General features: G+C 45.5%; 1 protein-coding gene and 1 pseudogene across 55 annotated transcripts in view, besides 1 other annotated feature; both read right to left on the bottom strand.

The window, feature by feature from the left end:
• The window catches only part of TJAP1 (tight junction associated protein 1), a 28,985-nt gene extending 18,773 nt beyond the window's left edge, over positions 1-10,212 (bottom strand). For 14 of the 55 annotated variants that reach the window (XM_024446586.2, XM_047419542.1, XM_024446584.2 and 11 more), the window contains exons 1-3: positions 10,154-10,212; positions 9,550-9,695; positions 9,064-9,123 (exon numbers count right to left, since the gene is read on the bottom strand). The gene's annotated coding sequence lies outside the window, so the exon portion shown is untranslated. Of the gene's footprint in view, positions 1-9,063; positions 9,124-9,549 lie in introns of all 55 variants that reach the window. The other 41 variants (NR_146793.2, XM_047419533.1, XM_024446587.2 and 38 more) reach the window with 6 other exon arrangements.
• Positions 9,069-9,862: an enhancer, noted in NCBI's record as "H3K27ac hESC enhancer chr6:43445658-43446451 (GRCh37/hg19 assembly coordinates)". NCBI's record gives its function as "activates a minimal SCP1, AML or CMV promoter by ChIP-STARR-seq in primed H9 embryonic stem cells {active_cell/tissue: H9 hESC(primed)}" and the evidence as "EXISTENCE:reporter gene assay evidence [ECO:0000049][PMID:30033119]".
• On the bottom strand, positions 13,490-13,596 carry RNU6-1113P (RNA, U6 small nuclear 1113, pseudogene; annotated as a pseudogene).

Below are 15,974 nucleotides of genomic sequence, written 5' to 3'. Positions count from 1 at the left end.
GGATCTTCTTACTTTTTATTTTGTATACTTTTCTGTATGGTTAGCATTTTACACAAGGGATGTATGTTTATGGTGAAACCAACAGTTCCTAGGCAAACAGACAAAAACCCTGCATCTACACTGTGCTTTATCATCCCAGAAGCTCTTTCCCTTCCATGATATTTCCTTTGATGCTTATGGTCCAGTGAGGCACAAAGAATAGGGAGCTCTCCCATTGTGAGGGTCAGAAAGCACAAGTGATTTGCCCAAGACCACAAGCAGAAGTGGGACATAACCCAGTTCCCCTGTCTCCAATACCAGTGCAAAGCCTGGAAAGCTCTTTTCCAGGAAGCCACAGGAATACCAGGACAATTCTGCCCTAATATCAAGACCCTCAAAGACTTCTGAGATTCAGTTCCCTACTTGGGCTACCTGTGAAGGTATAAAGAGGCCAACCACCGCTTGGTACCCAAAATGATAAGCAGAGTTTTATCCTATTGGTTAGCTGAGTAGAAGTCCAGGGTTTTGGGGTCTAGGATGGCTTCTCCGTAGGCGGATCCTCCTCTCAAGGGATGGTATTGAGTTCCCCACCACAGCACAGAAGCTTCTCACAAAGAGGGGCCATGTCCTTTATAAATTCTAAATGTCACCTAGCACACAATTGGCACAAGATAGTAACTAACAAAGAAGAGGTCCCACCCTTCTACTCAGGACCAGTCAAGGAGACTTAGTCCCCTTGAAGCCTAAGATATCCAACACAATCCAGTCTGGCTGGCTCACTCAACCCCCTCTCTGCTTAACATAAAACGCAGTTTATTACTTCCCGCAAGTTGCCATCTGCAAAGATATGCCACAACGCAATGCACATTCTCACACCCAGGGACAAGGGAGAGAACCCAGGGAAAACTCCTTCAGTCCATTTTTAGCTATTGGTTTCATCCTTTTGATTTATCTGGGCATTAACAAGGTTGTATTAAGCTCTGGCTGTGAGCACTGAGTACGCCTAGATGGGACTAGAGATAGGACCAGAAAAGCAAGCAGGTTACAGTGGGCAATAGAAAGGGCAGCATAGAGAATTACAAAGGAGCAGCCAGCAGCCAAAGACCTTTCTAGGGATGCTAATTAGGCAAAAAAAAATAGCTACTGGAGCCGGGCATGGTGGCTAACACCTGTAATCCCAGCACTTTGGGAGGCTGAGGCCGGTGGATCACCTGAGGTCAGGAGTTTGAGACCAGCCTGACCAACAAGGTGAAACCCCATCTCTACTAAAAACACAAAAATTAGCCGGGCATGGTGGCAGGCACCTGTAGTCCCAGCTACTCGGGAGGCTGGGACAGGAGAATTGCTTAAACCCAGGAGGCAGAGGTTGCAGTGAGCAGGGATCGCGCCGCTGCACTCCCAACTGGGCGACAGAGCAAGACTCCATCTCAAAAAAAAAAAAAAAAAAAGCTACTGGAAAGCTACTGGTACGTACTCACCTCCTCCTTTAACCCCCTTTCTGATTGCTTAGGGATGTGTTATTAGAACATAAACCGTCTGGCCGAGCATGGTGGTTCACGTCTGTAATCCCTGCACTTTGGGAGACCGAGGTGGGCGGATCACCTGAGGTCAGGAGTTCCAGACTAGCCTGGCCAAAATGGCGAAACCCCGTCTCTACTAAAAATACAAAAGTTAGCTGCGCGTGGTGGCACATGCCTGTAGTCCCAGCTACTCGGGAGGCTGAGCATTGCTTGAACCCAGGAGGCGGAGGTTGCAGTGAGCCAAGATCGCGCCACTGCACTCCACCCTGAGCAACAGAGCAAGACTCTGTCTCAAAAAAAGAAAAAAAAAAAAAACATAAAAAGGCTAAAAGGGAGACAGCTGAAGCCAAGCACCTGGAAGATGATTTAACCACATGAATGCAATCCTGGAAAATAATTAGTAATGCTATTGTTAACACTATCACCTTTTGTTTATGCAGGACCTTCCTTCCTGAGGGTGCAAAAGGTTTTGCCAGATAGATTCCATCTTCTTTAATCCCACTGAGGAAGGACTGAGTTGGGTCACACAGTAACCAACATTGCTCAGCACTTACTCTATAGTGCCTAAATGCTTGGCCTTCAGTAAAAAAGCTTGCCCCTAAGAAGCTTCAGAGACAGAAGATCTTACTCCTAGTGGGAGAGAGACAGGTTAACAGTCACTTCCAGTACAGTGTGGTTGAGTGCTTTGAGAGCACAGAGGAGAGGTACCTAGCTGGGACAAGGGTTTAAGGACCAGACAAGGCTGCCATCCAGAGAACTCAGACATATCTTCCTCATCTGATTGTAAACTCGCACTGGAGTATCCCTGGCATTATACACTTAATTCTGGAAAGAAATTCATTTGGTGTTTGTTAGCAATTGGGGCTCTAAGGACTACCCCCATCAACTACACTAGAAACAAAAAAGCAAAGAATGGATCATGATGCAGCTATCAGCCCCACTTGTGGGAAGCATCCAAGTTAAGCCTGTTCTGTGGCACAGGAAGACCATTAAAGCCCTAAGAAAAGTGGGGCCAAGAAGTCTGGCTTCCTCAATGCCTGGATGTGTTCCATCAGATTCACCCATTTTTCAATCCATAAAATATGGGGAAACATGGATATTGAAACTCTCCATCCAGTCATCCACTGTGAGCAGCTTTCTGTCTATCCCCAGCCTTAATTACATTACGAATCCACCACCACCAACCTCACCAGAACTGGAGAAGGCCAGCATATCACGATCATCAAAGGAGTCATCACAAAACAAGAGATGGGGAGGCTGGGCGTGGTGGCTCACGCCTGTAATCCTGGCACTTTGGGAGGCCCAGGTGGGTGGATCACCTGAGGCCAGGAGTTCAAGACCAGCCTGGCCAACTTGGTAAAACCCCGCCTCCACTAAAAATACAAAAAAATTAGCCAGGCACAGTGGCAGGCACCTGTAATCCCAGCTACTCAGGAGGCCGAGGCAGGAGAATTGCCTGAACCCGGGAGGTGGAGGTTGCAGTGAGCTGAGATCGTGCCACTGCACTCCAGCCTGGATGACAGAGCAAGACTCCGTCTTGGGAAAAACAAACAAACAGAGATGGGGAGAAACACCAACAATCTCTGCACAGGCTGCTCATTGATGATGCTCCTAATCTCACCTTTTTTACTGCTTCCTCACAAGAAAGGAGACTCCGTTTTACTCCCACCTCAAAATGCTCCTGGCTACCAGGCAGAAATCAAAAGGCTTATTTTAGATTTAATAGAACAAAGCCTTTTCCTATTTGCAGAGCTCCAAAATGGGAAATTTATTCATTCAACAAATATTTACCAAGTGTCCTTTATTTATTTATATATTTTTTTGAGATGAAGTCTCGCTCTTGTGCCCCAGGATGGAGTACAGTGGCATGATCTCAGCTCACTGTAACCTCCACCTCCCGGGTTCAAGCGATTCTCCTGCCTCAGCCTCCTGAGTAGCTGGGATTACAGGTGCCTGCCACCATGCCCGGCTAATTTTTGTATTTTTGGTAGAGACAGGGCTTCACCATGTTGGCCAGGCTGGTCTCGAACTCCTGACCTCAGGTGATCCACCCACCTCAGCCTCCCAAAGTGCTGGGATTGACAGGCATGAGCCACCGTGCCCAGCCCCAAGTGTCTTTTATATGCCAGGCACCATGCTATATGCTATGAACTCATTACTCCTGCAAAAAAGATGTCACCCATATTTTATTTTTTTTTTTGTTTTTAATTTTTTTAGAGATTGGGTCTGGCTCTGTCACCCATTCTGGAGTGCAATGGTGCAATCATAGCTCACTGCAGCCTCAAACTCCTGGGTTCAAGTTATCCTCCCACCTCAGCCTCCTCCTGAGGGTTAGGACCACAGGCACAAGCCACCATACCCAGCTAAGTTTTGAATGTCTTTTGTAGAGACAAAGTCTCATTATGTTGCTCAGTCAGTCTGGCTTCAAACTCTTGGCCTCAAGTGATCCTCCTGCCTCAGCCTTCCAAAGTGCTGGGATTTCAGGAGTGAGCTACTACACCCAGCCAACCTCATTTTAGAGACCAAGATGAGACCAAGAATCCTACTGGTTAAGGAACTTGCCCAAAGTTGCACAGGTGGTGAGTGGCAGAATTAGGATTTAAACCAGGTCTGCCTAGCTCCACAATCAGATTCTTTCACACTATTCATTACCATTCCCACCGACTCCTCTCCACCACATGTTCTGCAAAGTCCCCTGTCTACAGGAGATCAGCCCAGTGAAAGAAACAGACAAGTAAACAGAGCCCTCACCAAACAACATGGTAAGTGCCAAAACAGAGGTTCAAAGAAAGTGCTGCAGGGGACCAAGAGGAGGAAAGAAAAGCAGCGGAGGCTTCTCACTGGAGGTGACAAAGGAGCTGGGTCTTAGGGGATGGGCAGTTTCAGAGGCAGAGGTGAGCATTATGGACTGAGTGAAGTACATGGGCAAAGAAGATGAAACTAAATGGATGCCCATGATAGGTTTGGGAGCAGTGAGAAATTTGGGAGCAATGAAGCACAGGACAGATGAGGTGGAATAGCAGCAACTCAGGCTAATGGTCTGGGTCTGGACCCCAGTATAAGGAGCCTTTTGGCATGCCAAGCCAGACAGTGTGGGCTTTAACTTAAGTAAGGAAGAACCCATGGCATTTCTAAGGGAAGACTTTTTTTTTTTTTTTATTGAGATGGAGTCTTGCTCTGTTGCCCAGTTTGGAGTGCAATGGCACGATCTTGGTTCACTGAAACCTCCACCTCCTGGGTTCAAGTGATTCTCCTGCCTCAACCTCCTGAGTAGCTGGGATTGCAGGTACGCACCACCACGCCCAACTAATTTTTGTATTTTTAGTAGAGACAGGGTTTCATCATGTTCATCAGGCTGGTCTCGAACTCCTGATCTCGTGATTCACCTACCTCAGCCTCCCAAAGTGCTGGGATTACAGGCGTGAGCCACCACGCCCAGCCAGGAAGACTATTTTATAGGCAAATAATTTTGACAGCACCATGGAAGATAGACTGGTGTGAGAAGAGACTGCTGACCACATTTTATTCATTCTACATGCACCACGGCATCATAAAGCACCTATTAAGGCCCAGCACTGTCCTAAATGCTACAAACACAGTAGTGAATAAGACATAGTCTCTGTTCTCAGGGCACTTAGTCTTATGAGAATCAGACAAGTAAACAGGCAATTATGACACAGCATAAGTATCGGACAGAAGCACAGAAGAAGGGCACTCAAGGGGGCAGGGGTGAGATACTAAAGGAAGTGACGTTTAAACTGAGACCTGAAGGACAAAAAGGTAGGCAAAGGAGTAGCACCAGTGTATGCAAAGATCTAGAGGCTAGAATGAGGTCAGTTTGGAGAGCTATTTAAGAGCCTGAATCCAGGTGAGAAATGAAGGTTCCTTCACCCAGAGGTCGTTGGCATTCAAAATATGGTGGTGAGAAGGAAGTGAAGGGATTGGCTTCATAAATATCTGAATAAGGGGCACCCTGAGAATTGATTTACACAACAAAGAAAACAATAAAGGGGAAGAATCAGCTCAAAATCCATCATCCTTCACCTTGCAACTCCATAGTTTACTAAAATGTGACCCGAATCCAGAAAATTTGAGGACGTCTACCAAAGTACAAAGGTATACTCTTTAGAGATAACACGTTTCAGCACGCTGACTGCCACGCAATGCAAGATAAAATACACTATCCTAAGATATATGGCTCCCAAGTTCATGAAGTGGGGAGCGATACGTCTGACAGATACCGTCTGCTTCTCAAAATCACATGTGCCAAACAAATAGGAAAGGTCATCAGAGGGCCAGTGCAGAGTTCCCAGGGAAAGCCCAAAGTCCTGAGCCCGCAATTCCCCTGAAATCTAATTAGATGGCAGACACATGCCTACTTCAATGGCAGGGTAGAGAGTCATTTGTTGAAGAAAAAGAAGGGCCCTGAAGGTGTGTTAAATAGACAGGACATGACTCAGAAGGAGGAGGAGAGTGAGTCTTAAATACAGGGCAAAGGAAAGCCAGTCAATGAAACCTTGGGCACACCTCTACCTCAAGGCTACACTGGGCCTCCTGCCTGGCTAAAGGGAGAGACTGAGCACCGCTGCCAGGGCCTTCTTCAAACAACATAGGCTTCAGCAGCACATTTGTTTTCTATTTTCCCATTCAGCTGAGGGGACGAAGCTATTTAAAATGCCACTTCTTTTTTTTTTTTTCTGTGTAGTTTGCTACTTCCTATTTTTATTATTTATTGTTTCAAATTTTATTAATTTTATTCAGGAAAGACATTGACTGTTAAGTTTTTTTTTGGGGGGGGGGTGATGTCTTGCTATTTTTTAAAAATTATATCCAGACTATGAATTTAATATTTACTACGGCTAATCAACTGCTCATGTCAGTAATCAAAGTCAGAAATGAGCCTTATACGTACATCTACATTAAACACACACACACCCCTTTAAGGTGTGCTCAGTGTAGATTCTAATGTCAGTCTGTCCATTCAACCCAGGCCCAAGGTTGCATCACATCACCAAGTTGAATCATGAAGACAGCCCAGATTTGACTGACATGGCACAGCAGGCTCCCTCACCACAGCCCATGCACCAGTTACTATTTCTGAGAGGAAGGAGAGGGTTGTGATGAAAAACTCAGCCCCTAAACATTTTTTTAAATAATCAAAAAAAATTCTACTACAATATGGATATACATTTAACCATCCTGACAAACAAACATGAACCAGGATATAGTCAAACAAACAAGAAATACAAATTGCCACTACGCATATTTAAGTTAACTTGATACCAACCTAAAGAAAAAAAAAGCTCAACTGCTGAAGCTAGAATGCCTAGGTTCAAATACCAGCTCTGTCACTTACTAGCTGGGTGATCTTAAGCAAATTACTTAACCACTCTGCCTCCATTTTCTCATCTGTAAGACAGGGATAATAAGTTATCTACTTCATATGATTATGAAAATTAAATTAATTGGCCAGGCACGGTGGCTCACACCTGTAATCCTAGCACTTTGGGAGGCAGAAGTAGGCAGATCGCCTGAGGTCAGGAGTTTGACACCAGCATGACCAATGCGGTGAAACCCCCGTTTCTACTAAAAATACAAAAATTAGCCAGGCATGGTTGTGGGCACCTGTAATCCCAGCTACCTGGGAGGCTGAGGCAGGAGAATCACTTCAACCTGGGAGGCGGCGGTTGCAGTGAGGAGAGCACCATTGCACTCCGGCCTGGGCGACAAGAACGAGACTTCGTCTCAAAAAAAAAAAGTCAAAAATTAAATTAGTTAATACATGAAAAGCCCTTACAACAGTCCTACGCACAGAATGTGCTCAATAAGCACCATTATTGTTATTATTATCATCATTACTCAACTGCAAAGATAATTGTGTAGCCTCACAGCTTCAAACAGGAAATCACTGGCATTTTAACATTGCCTTAAATAGCCTAATGAGGATATTCTCACGACAAAAAAATCTGTATTATCCAAAAGCTCTGCTTCATCTCTTTAACATCAGGCTAGCAGCCCAAACCAATGCAGATGCTATCTATATAAAGAGACAGCAGGTTCAACCATGAAACAGAAATTAGTGCTGAGATCTGACTAGTATAACTAAAACTTACTGTCAGGCACTGAGTAAGCATATTAATGTATTAACTAATTTACCTTCACAACAACCCTATGCGATAGATACTCTTACTACCCACATTTGATTGATAAGAAAACTGAGGCATACAAAGCTATGCCATTAATAAAGGTCACAGAGCTACAAATGGCAAAGTCAAACAGACTTTTTTTTTTTGGAGACGCTTTTTTTCTTGAGATGGATGGAGTCTTGCTCTGTCACCTGACTGGAGTGCAGTGGTGCAATCTCAGCTCACTGCAACCTCCACCACCCAGGTTCAAGCGATTCTCCTGCCTCAGCCTCCTGAGTAGCTGGGACTACAGGCGCATGCCACCACGCCCAGCCGATTTTTGTATTTTTAGTAGAGATGGGGTTTCACCTTGTTGGCCAGGATGGTCTCGATCTCTTGACCTCGTGATCCGCCTGCCTCGGCCTCCCAAAATGCTAGAATTACAGGAGTGAGCCACTGCACCCTGCCAGTGCTTTTTTTGTTGTTTCTTGGAGACTGCATCTCCTACGCTGCCCAGGCTGGAGTACAATGGGTATTCACAGGTGCCATCATAGTGCATTGCAGCCTCAAACTCCTGGCCTCAAGTGCTCCTCCCATCTCAGTATCCCAAGTAGCTGGGACTACAGGTATGTGCCACTAGGCCGGGCTCAGAGTCAGTGCTATTAACTGTTATGTGTGTTCACCACACTACCCTTGGGTGATTACAATTACAATTTGAAAGGGGGCACGAATTGTCCTCAGAAAAAGGAGGTTCTCAACCTTCAGAAACAGAGTCACAGCTACATATCATCAGTTCTTCAAATACCTAAAGGTACTGAAGCTGACCTAGTAACAGTGACTTGGGTTGTTCTGTTTGGAGTAAGCCTTTGATTGGGGGGACAGGTACAGAGCAGACAGTAAATGAAGAGTTCTAGATCAAACCATCCTAGTCCACCATGAAGCGATGCTGATCCTGAAGCAGGCTTCAATAAGAAGGCTACTCCCAACTCTGGCTAGGGCAAAACACTCACCAAAGGAAGTGAAGGCCACATTCACTGTGTTCTCTGGCTCCAGTCCCTTTCCTTTCTCTCCAACACCAAATCCACTACCTCTCAGGCCATGCTTAGTTTGGCTACTGAGACTGATATTTTTCAAAAGTGGTTTGATGGGAAGATTACAAAGGAGAGAAAAAAACTACCAGAAAAGAAAAGAGCAAGTTCCATGATCCTTTCTTTGCATCACCACACTTGTCCAACTGTAAAGTAGCTCTCAAATATTAGGGGTCTCAAGGATAGGCAGTGCGGTGCTAAACATTCCCAGAGCTTTACATCAGTCCACTTGATCTCTTACCAGAAACTGATCTACATTTTTTCTCTCTAATCCCAACCTGCCTTTCCCTCACCTCTGATACCCCCACCAAAATCCACATCCCCAGAGGAACACTAATGAGCCCTTCTTACCAAAAAAGCAAAAGTAGACACACAGCGAGAATGAATTCAGGAGTCAGTGACAGCAGGTACCTAAATGGTCAGTGAACACGATCAGAATTTGTTTTCTCGTGACTCCCCACCATCTGTCACCCACAAATCTCCACTTCCAGGCAGGACGCCAAAGTGAAGAAGTGATGGGGATATTGAAGCAGAAACAATGAGCATGTAGGAAACTGCTTGTGACAGGGATGTGTTAACATCCTTCGGCCTGGTCTCTAGGCCTCTGTCCAGGTTTACTTGCATAGGTGAAGGCACACAAGGCTTAATTCTACACCAACTCTCAAAAGTCAGCCTGCAATCTACGCCAAACACTAACTTAAGGACCTCAGACAAAGGACAAACTCTATAAAAGTGAGCCCTTTTCAGACCAAATGTTTCTTGGCATCACTCTAAGCCCATGCATCCTCCTCCCAGGGAGCATGCCAGCCAGAAACCTGTCACTGGAAGCCACCTTACCCGCTCTGGGGTTGGACTGGGGCAAGTCGCTATCTCTTCTTCTTTCCAAGTAGGCACTGTAATTTCTTCCAGTCCCTGGGGCACCTGAATCTTCAGCTGAAATTGGGGCAGATGCTGCTAACAGCTGTGGAAAGGCTGATCTAAGCCTAGAAGAGGGTCATTTGACTGGCTTTAGTTCCCTCCTTAGCAGATCTGCCCGGCATCCTCCAGATCTCTCTTCCTCACTATCCCACTCTACTAGAAAGATCCCTTTCCCCTCTGGCCGGCCAGATACAGTCGGGCCTCTATCCCACGCTCCAGGCTTCTTTATTCGCGGCTAAGAAATTTTCCTCCAACTTGTGACTCTGCTTCTCCAGGGCCTGCACAACACCTACTTCTGGCTGCCCCGCCCCCAAATCCCCCTCCCCTAGGGCTGCCACTGGACCCTAGGGCCCCGGTCCGCCCCAGCTCCTTTTTTTCCTCTCCGCCTCGGACCTTACTCCATTCCATCTCCTCTTTTCAACCCTGGAGCCAGTACCCCCTTCGCCCCTACTACAGGCTAGGGCCCCCGCAATCCTCCCCAACTCTGGCTTCCCCGCCCGACTACTCCAACCCCACAACAAACTTTCCGCCGCTGCCAGCTGCGTTCAGGCCGCCATCTTGCCGCGGGGCAGGCCGGGTAGTGGCCAGGGCCGCGGGAATCCCCACGCACTTGGCGTGTCGCGTCATCTGAGGCGGGGCCATGGGGGCGGGGCCTCGGGTTGGGGAGGTGGGACACTAGGTAGGTGATGGTGAAAAATGGGGCTCTCCTGAAAGCAGGGATTGGAGGACTGGCCACAGAAGGAAGGAGGTGTCAGGAGCAGGGCAATAGCGGGAAGCGGGGAAAGAATCCAGTACTGAAAGAAAAAAAAAAAAAAAAAGAATAGGGGAACACATCTCAAAGATACAGTGGGAGAGAGAATCGTGCTACTGGTTCCCCGTCATCCAGAGAATAAAACCAGCTTTTCAGTTTGGCATTCAAAGATCCGCATGATCCAGGCTCTTCCACCTTCATCAGCCTCATTTTTTGCCTCTCCTGGGAACTTCAGGTTCCCAAATTGTCCTTTGTTTTCAGGACATCGGGCCTTAAGATGTCTAATCTCTCTCCTCCTCCTTTGCATCATCAATTCCTCCTATTCCTTCAAACCATCAGCTAAAATGTCACCTCCCCCAGAAAGATTTCCCTTTAGTGCTCCTTTTGCTGGGCATCACTAGCAACTTGTACATAGCTTTACTGTAGCTGTCCCGTGCAGTGTAATTATTTATTTACATGTTATACCACTTTTGCCCTGCTGCTTCTTCAGGGCAAAAACTATGTTTGATTGCATCTTCATACTCCCTAGCAGGTGCTTGGCACACAATAATTGCCTAATGAATAAATGGCATGTTTTCCTCCAATGCATTAAGCATATTTCTGCCTCAGGGTCTCTAAATTTGCTATTCCCCATACCTGGAATGTTCTTCCTCCAAATATTGACTCTCATTTGTGTCTTTGCTCAAGTGTCATCACTTTAGAGAAGCCTTCCTTGGCCACTCAATCTAAATCAGCATCCCTATTCTCCTTTACCCTGCTTTAATGTTTTCATTCATAGTACTTATCATTATCTGACATTATATTAAATATTTATTGTTTATTGATCATCTCCCCACTACAAAGCAAACTCCAGAGGTCTGGGATGTTTTCTTGCTCATCACAGTATCCCCAGTGTCTAAAACAATGCCTGGCATAGTAGGTATTCAATAGATTTTTTTTATTCTGTTTGTTTAATTAATTAATTAATTTTTGAGACAGGGTCTCACTCTGTTGCCCAGGCTGGAGTGTAGTGGTGCGATCTCGGCTCACTGCAACCTCCGCCTCCCGGGTTCAAGTGATTCTCCCACCTCAGTTTCCTGTGTAGCTGGGATTACAGGCGCATGCCAGCTAATTTTTTGTATTTTTAGTAGAGATGGGAGTTCCACCATTCCACCATGTTGGCCAGGCTGGTCTCGAACTCCTGACCTCAAGTGATCCACCTGCCTCAGCCTCCCAAAGTGCTGAGATTACAGGTGTGAGCCACTGCACCGGCCAGTAAATATTTATTGAATGAATAAATGGTATGGAGGTTGGTGATTGACAGATTTTGGAATATACTGGTGGAGAAGAGGGGTTGAAAATACTATAAAATAAGAAAATGCATAGATGGAAGTTACATGACCTCAAGGCCCCACTTAGCACTAACAGGAATGGTAGCAAAGACAAGCCCCAGACTCAGCAAAGGAGAGAGTGAGATGAGGATCAGGTGGAATTCTGCAGCTGGGTCCTCAGGGAGCACAGCCATCCTAGGAAAGCCCCAGGGCACCGAGCAGGCCAGGTAGAGGAAATGAGGAAGGCTGGAGGCCAGGAGTCTCCTCAGACCTAAAGACATCATCCACCCCGAGCCCAGGCCTCTCTTGGCCAGATGGTTCCGGAGAAGCATCTGTCCCTCCATAAATTATCCAGGGCCCCCTCCAGCCTATCCTCTCTGGTGACAGCCGGAACAATTGTCCAGGAATTCCATCTGCTCCCCTGTCCCTCTCCCCTCCGCAGCTCATCAACATTTCAGAGCAGCAAGGTATCCCATTTCCCTGGGCCTAGAGATGGAGCTGGTCTGCCCCTTGGTGAAGCTGATCTCATGTACCCACCCCCCATCAACGCACACACACAAAAACCTCAGCAGAGGCTTCCAGATTCCCAGAGGGAGAGGTCAGCCATTTTTATTTCCCATCCCATCCATGCCTTTCTATCCTATATATCTTTTTAAAAATTAATTTAATAAAATTACACTAACTAAACTAGCCTGGCCAACATAGTGAAACCCCCTCTCTACTAAAAATACAAAAATTAGTTGGGCATGGTGGCATGCACTTGTAGTCCCAGCTACTCAGGAGGCTGAGGCAAGAGAATTGCTCGAACCCGGAAGGCGGAGGTTGTGGTGAGCCAAGATCGTGCCACTGCGCTCCAGCCTGGGCGACAGAGCAAGACTCCATCTCAAAAAAAAAAAACAAAATGACTTTTGCTGTTTACCAAAAGGTATCTGGCTGAAGGAAGAAATTTAGGAAGCTGGTTTGCTTTTCTAAATAGGTATAATTCCTAGATATCGTTTCAACCTTCCCAGAAATTGTTTTGGGGTTCACAAAGGGAGAAAGGCTGTTGTACTTTCAACTATAGATTTGAAAAGCAATTCAAGTTTATATTTGGAAACAAGGGAAGTATCAGTAAACATAAACATACTTTTGAAAAGAATAGGAATCACAGTCCTCTAGAGTTTTTTATTATTATTATGATTTATTATTATTTTTTAAGATGGAGTTTCACCCTTCTTGCCCAGGCTGGAGTGCAATGGCATGATCTCTACTCATTGCAACCTCCACCTCCTGGGTTCAAGCGATTCTTCTGCCTCAGCCTCCCAAATAGCTGAGATTACAGGTGCCCACCACCACACCCAGATAATTTTTGTATTTTAGTAGAGATGGGTTTTCACCATGTTGGTCAGGCTGGTCTGAAACTCCTGACCTCAGGTGATCCACCTGCCTCGGCCTCCCAAAGTGCTGGGATTACAGGCATGAGCCACCATGTCCAGCCTATTATTATTATTATTATTATTATTATTATTTGAGACAGAGTTTCGCTCTGTCGTCCAGGCTGGAGTGCAGTGGTGCGATCTCGGCTCATTGCAACCTCCGCCTCCCAGATTCAAGCAATTCTCTGCCTCAGCCTCCCAAGTAGCTGAAATTACAGGTGCCCACCACCACGCCCAGCTAATTTTTGTATTTTTAGTAGAAACGGGGTTTCACCATCTTGGCCAGGCTGGTCTTGAACTCCTGACCTTGTGATCCACCTGCCTCGGCCTCCCAAAGTGGTGGGATTACAGGCATGAGCCACTGCGCCCGGCCTATTATTATTTTTAATATGGAAGGCTTTACGAATTCATGTATCATCCTTGCACAGGGGCCATGCTAATCTTCCCTGAATCATTCCAGTTTTAGTATATGTGCTGCTGAAGCAAGCACAAGTTTTTAACTTTTAACATATGAGAGATAAAGTTATTTTCATTGTAGCGAGGCTGGTTTGCTTCATCATTCCTCCCTCTGTGGATGGACAAACCCACTTATGTACCTAAATATTTATTAGGCCACAATAAAATAGTTGTTCTCTATCTTTGTGAGAGAACCATGAGGAAAGTGGTAAAAATTAGGGGTCCTTCTAGCTTTCAGGGTCTTAAGAAATAGCTGCAAGTTGCGGAAGAGTCAGGCTCACTTCATTTTGATGACAATTTTCATATGGTTGGTGTCTATAGGGCTGCAGGTATGCAGGGCCCATCTGCACAAACATGGTCAAGCATTTCTCAAGGCATAATCCACCTAGGTCCAAGGCAGTCCTTTCTGATGATTTAATTTATGTGGACTAGTCACCCTGCTGGGACAGATGTGCTTGGTGTGGAGTCCGGGGTTGGCATGACACACTCTACATAGGCAAAAGGGTCTTGGAATAGAAGCAGTGGACAAAGATAGCAATTTGAGCTTCAGGTATTAAAGGAAATTGCTGGGAAAGAGGAGTCAAAACCATACTGGACTCAGCCCCACAGTCGTGTGACCTGTTCATTATGACAGCTAGAAGGGCCTTAGGCCATATGCAGCCTTTTTGATTGCCAGCAACATTATCTACTAACAATGTGAAGCCATGAGGCTATGTTCCTATTTGTGACTCTGATTTTGTGATGCTGAACCATGTATACATGGTTGTTATAACAATGATTTCAAAACTTCAAGAGGTGATAACTTAATCTACTTCCCTAGATTTAAGTTATACACATTTCCTAATTCTTCAGTCTATTAATAGAAGTCCACAGCTGCCAACTTGGTGGATGAGCTTTTATTAGATGTAATGACTTTTTCCTAACTTGGGATGTTGAATTTTATGGAAGTGTAAGAAATGTAATTTTAAAGACCTTGAAACTTGGTGGGAACTTGCATTCTTCATATTATTAAAACCATTTGGCTGGGCACGATGGTTCACGCCTGTAATCCCAACACTTTAGGAGGCCGAGGCAGGCGGATCACCTGAGGTCGAGAGTTTGAGACCAGCCTGACCAAAATGGAGAAACCCTGTCTCTACTAAAAATACAAAAAATTAGCCAGGTGTGGTGGTGCATGCCTGTAATCCCAGCTACTCAGGAGACTGAGGCAGGACAATCGCTTGAATGCAGGAGGCAGAGGTTGCAGTGAGCCAGCCTGGGCAACAAGAGCAAAACTCTGTCCCAAAAAAAAAAAAATTTTATCTCTCAAAAAATAATTAAAGTAGGAACTCAAATAAATATTTGTACACCTGTGGTCATAGCAACATTATTTTACAATAGCCAAAAGGTAGAAACAACACAAATGTTCATTGATGGATTAATGGATAAACAAAATGTAGCAAATACATACAATGGAATATTATTCAGCCTTGAAAAGGAAGGAATTCTGACACAGGCTACAACATGGATAAACCTTGAGGATACCACACAAAGTGAAATAAGTCAGTCACAAAAAGACAAATACTGAATGATTCCACTTATTTTAGGTACTTAGAGCAGTCAAATTCATAAAGATAGAAAATAGAATGGTCGGCCGGGCGCTGTGGCTCACGCCTGTAATCCTAACACTTTGGGAGGCCAAGGCAGGCAGATCACAAGGTCAGAAGTTCGAGACCAGCCTGGCCAACATGGTGAAACCCTGTCTCTACTAAAAATTCAAAAATTAGCCTAGTGTGGTGGCAGATGCCTGTAATCCCAGCTACTTGGGAGGCTGAGGCAGAGAATTGTTTGAACCTGGGAGGCAGAGGTTGCAGTGAGCCAAGATCACGCCACTGCCCTCCAGCCTGGGTGACAGAGTGAGACTCCGTCTCAAAAAAAAAGAAGAAAGAAAATAGAATGGTCATTGCCAGGGGCTGTAAAAAATTAGGAGTTAATGTTGTGTTCTTATTTTGTTTTTGTTTTTTTTTATTTATTTATTTTAGAGGCAGAGTCTCGCTCTGTTGCCCAGGCTGTAGTGCAGTGGCATGATCATAGCTCACTGCAGCCTCAAACTCCTGGGCTCAAGCGATCCTCTAGACTTAGCTTCCCAAGTAGCTAGGACTCTAGGCACACCTGCCTAATTTTTTAATTTTTTTGGAGGGCATCTATGTTCACCACTGTACCACCAATGCTTTTTAAATTTTTTATAGAAACGGAGTCACACTTTGTTGTCCAGGCTGGTCTTGAACTCCTGGACTCAATAGATCCTCCTGCCTCAGCCTCCCAAAGAGCTGGGATTACAGGCATAAGCCACCACACCTGGCCATCCATACATCTTTATATGATACCAAGTCTTGTTTTCTGGCTTCTGGTGAGATCTCACTTTCCCAACTC

This window comes from Homo sapiens, chromosome 6 (assembly GCF_000001405.40).
Source record: "Homo sapiens chromosome 6, GRCh38.p14 Primary Assembly".
Taxonomy (NCBI): Eukaryota; Metazoa; Chordata; class Mammalia; order Primates; family Hominidae; genus Homo; species Homo sapiens.
This window is presented reverse-complemented; position numbering and strand designations above follow the sequence as displayed.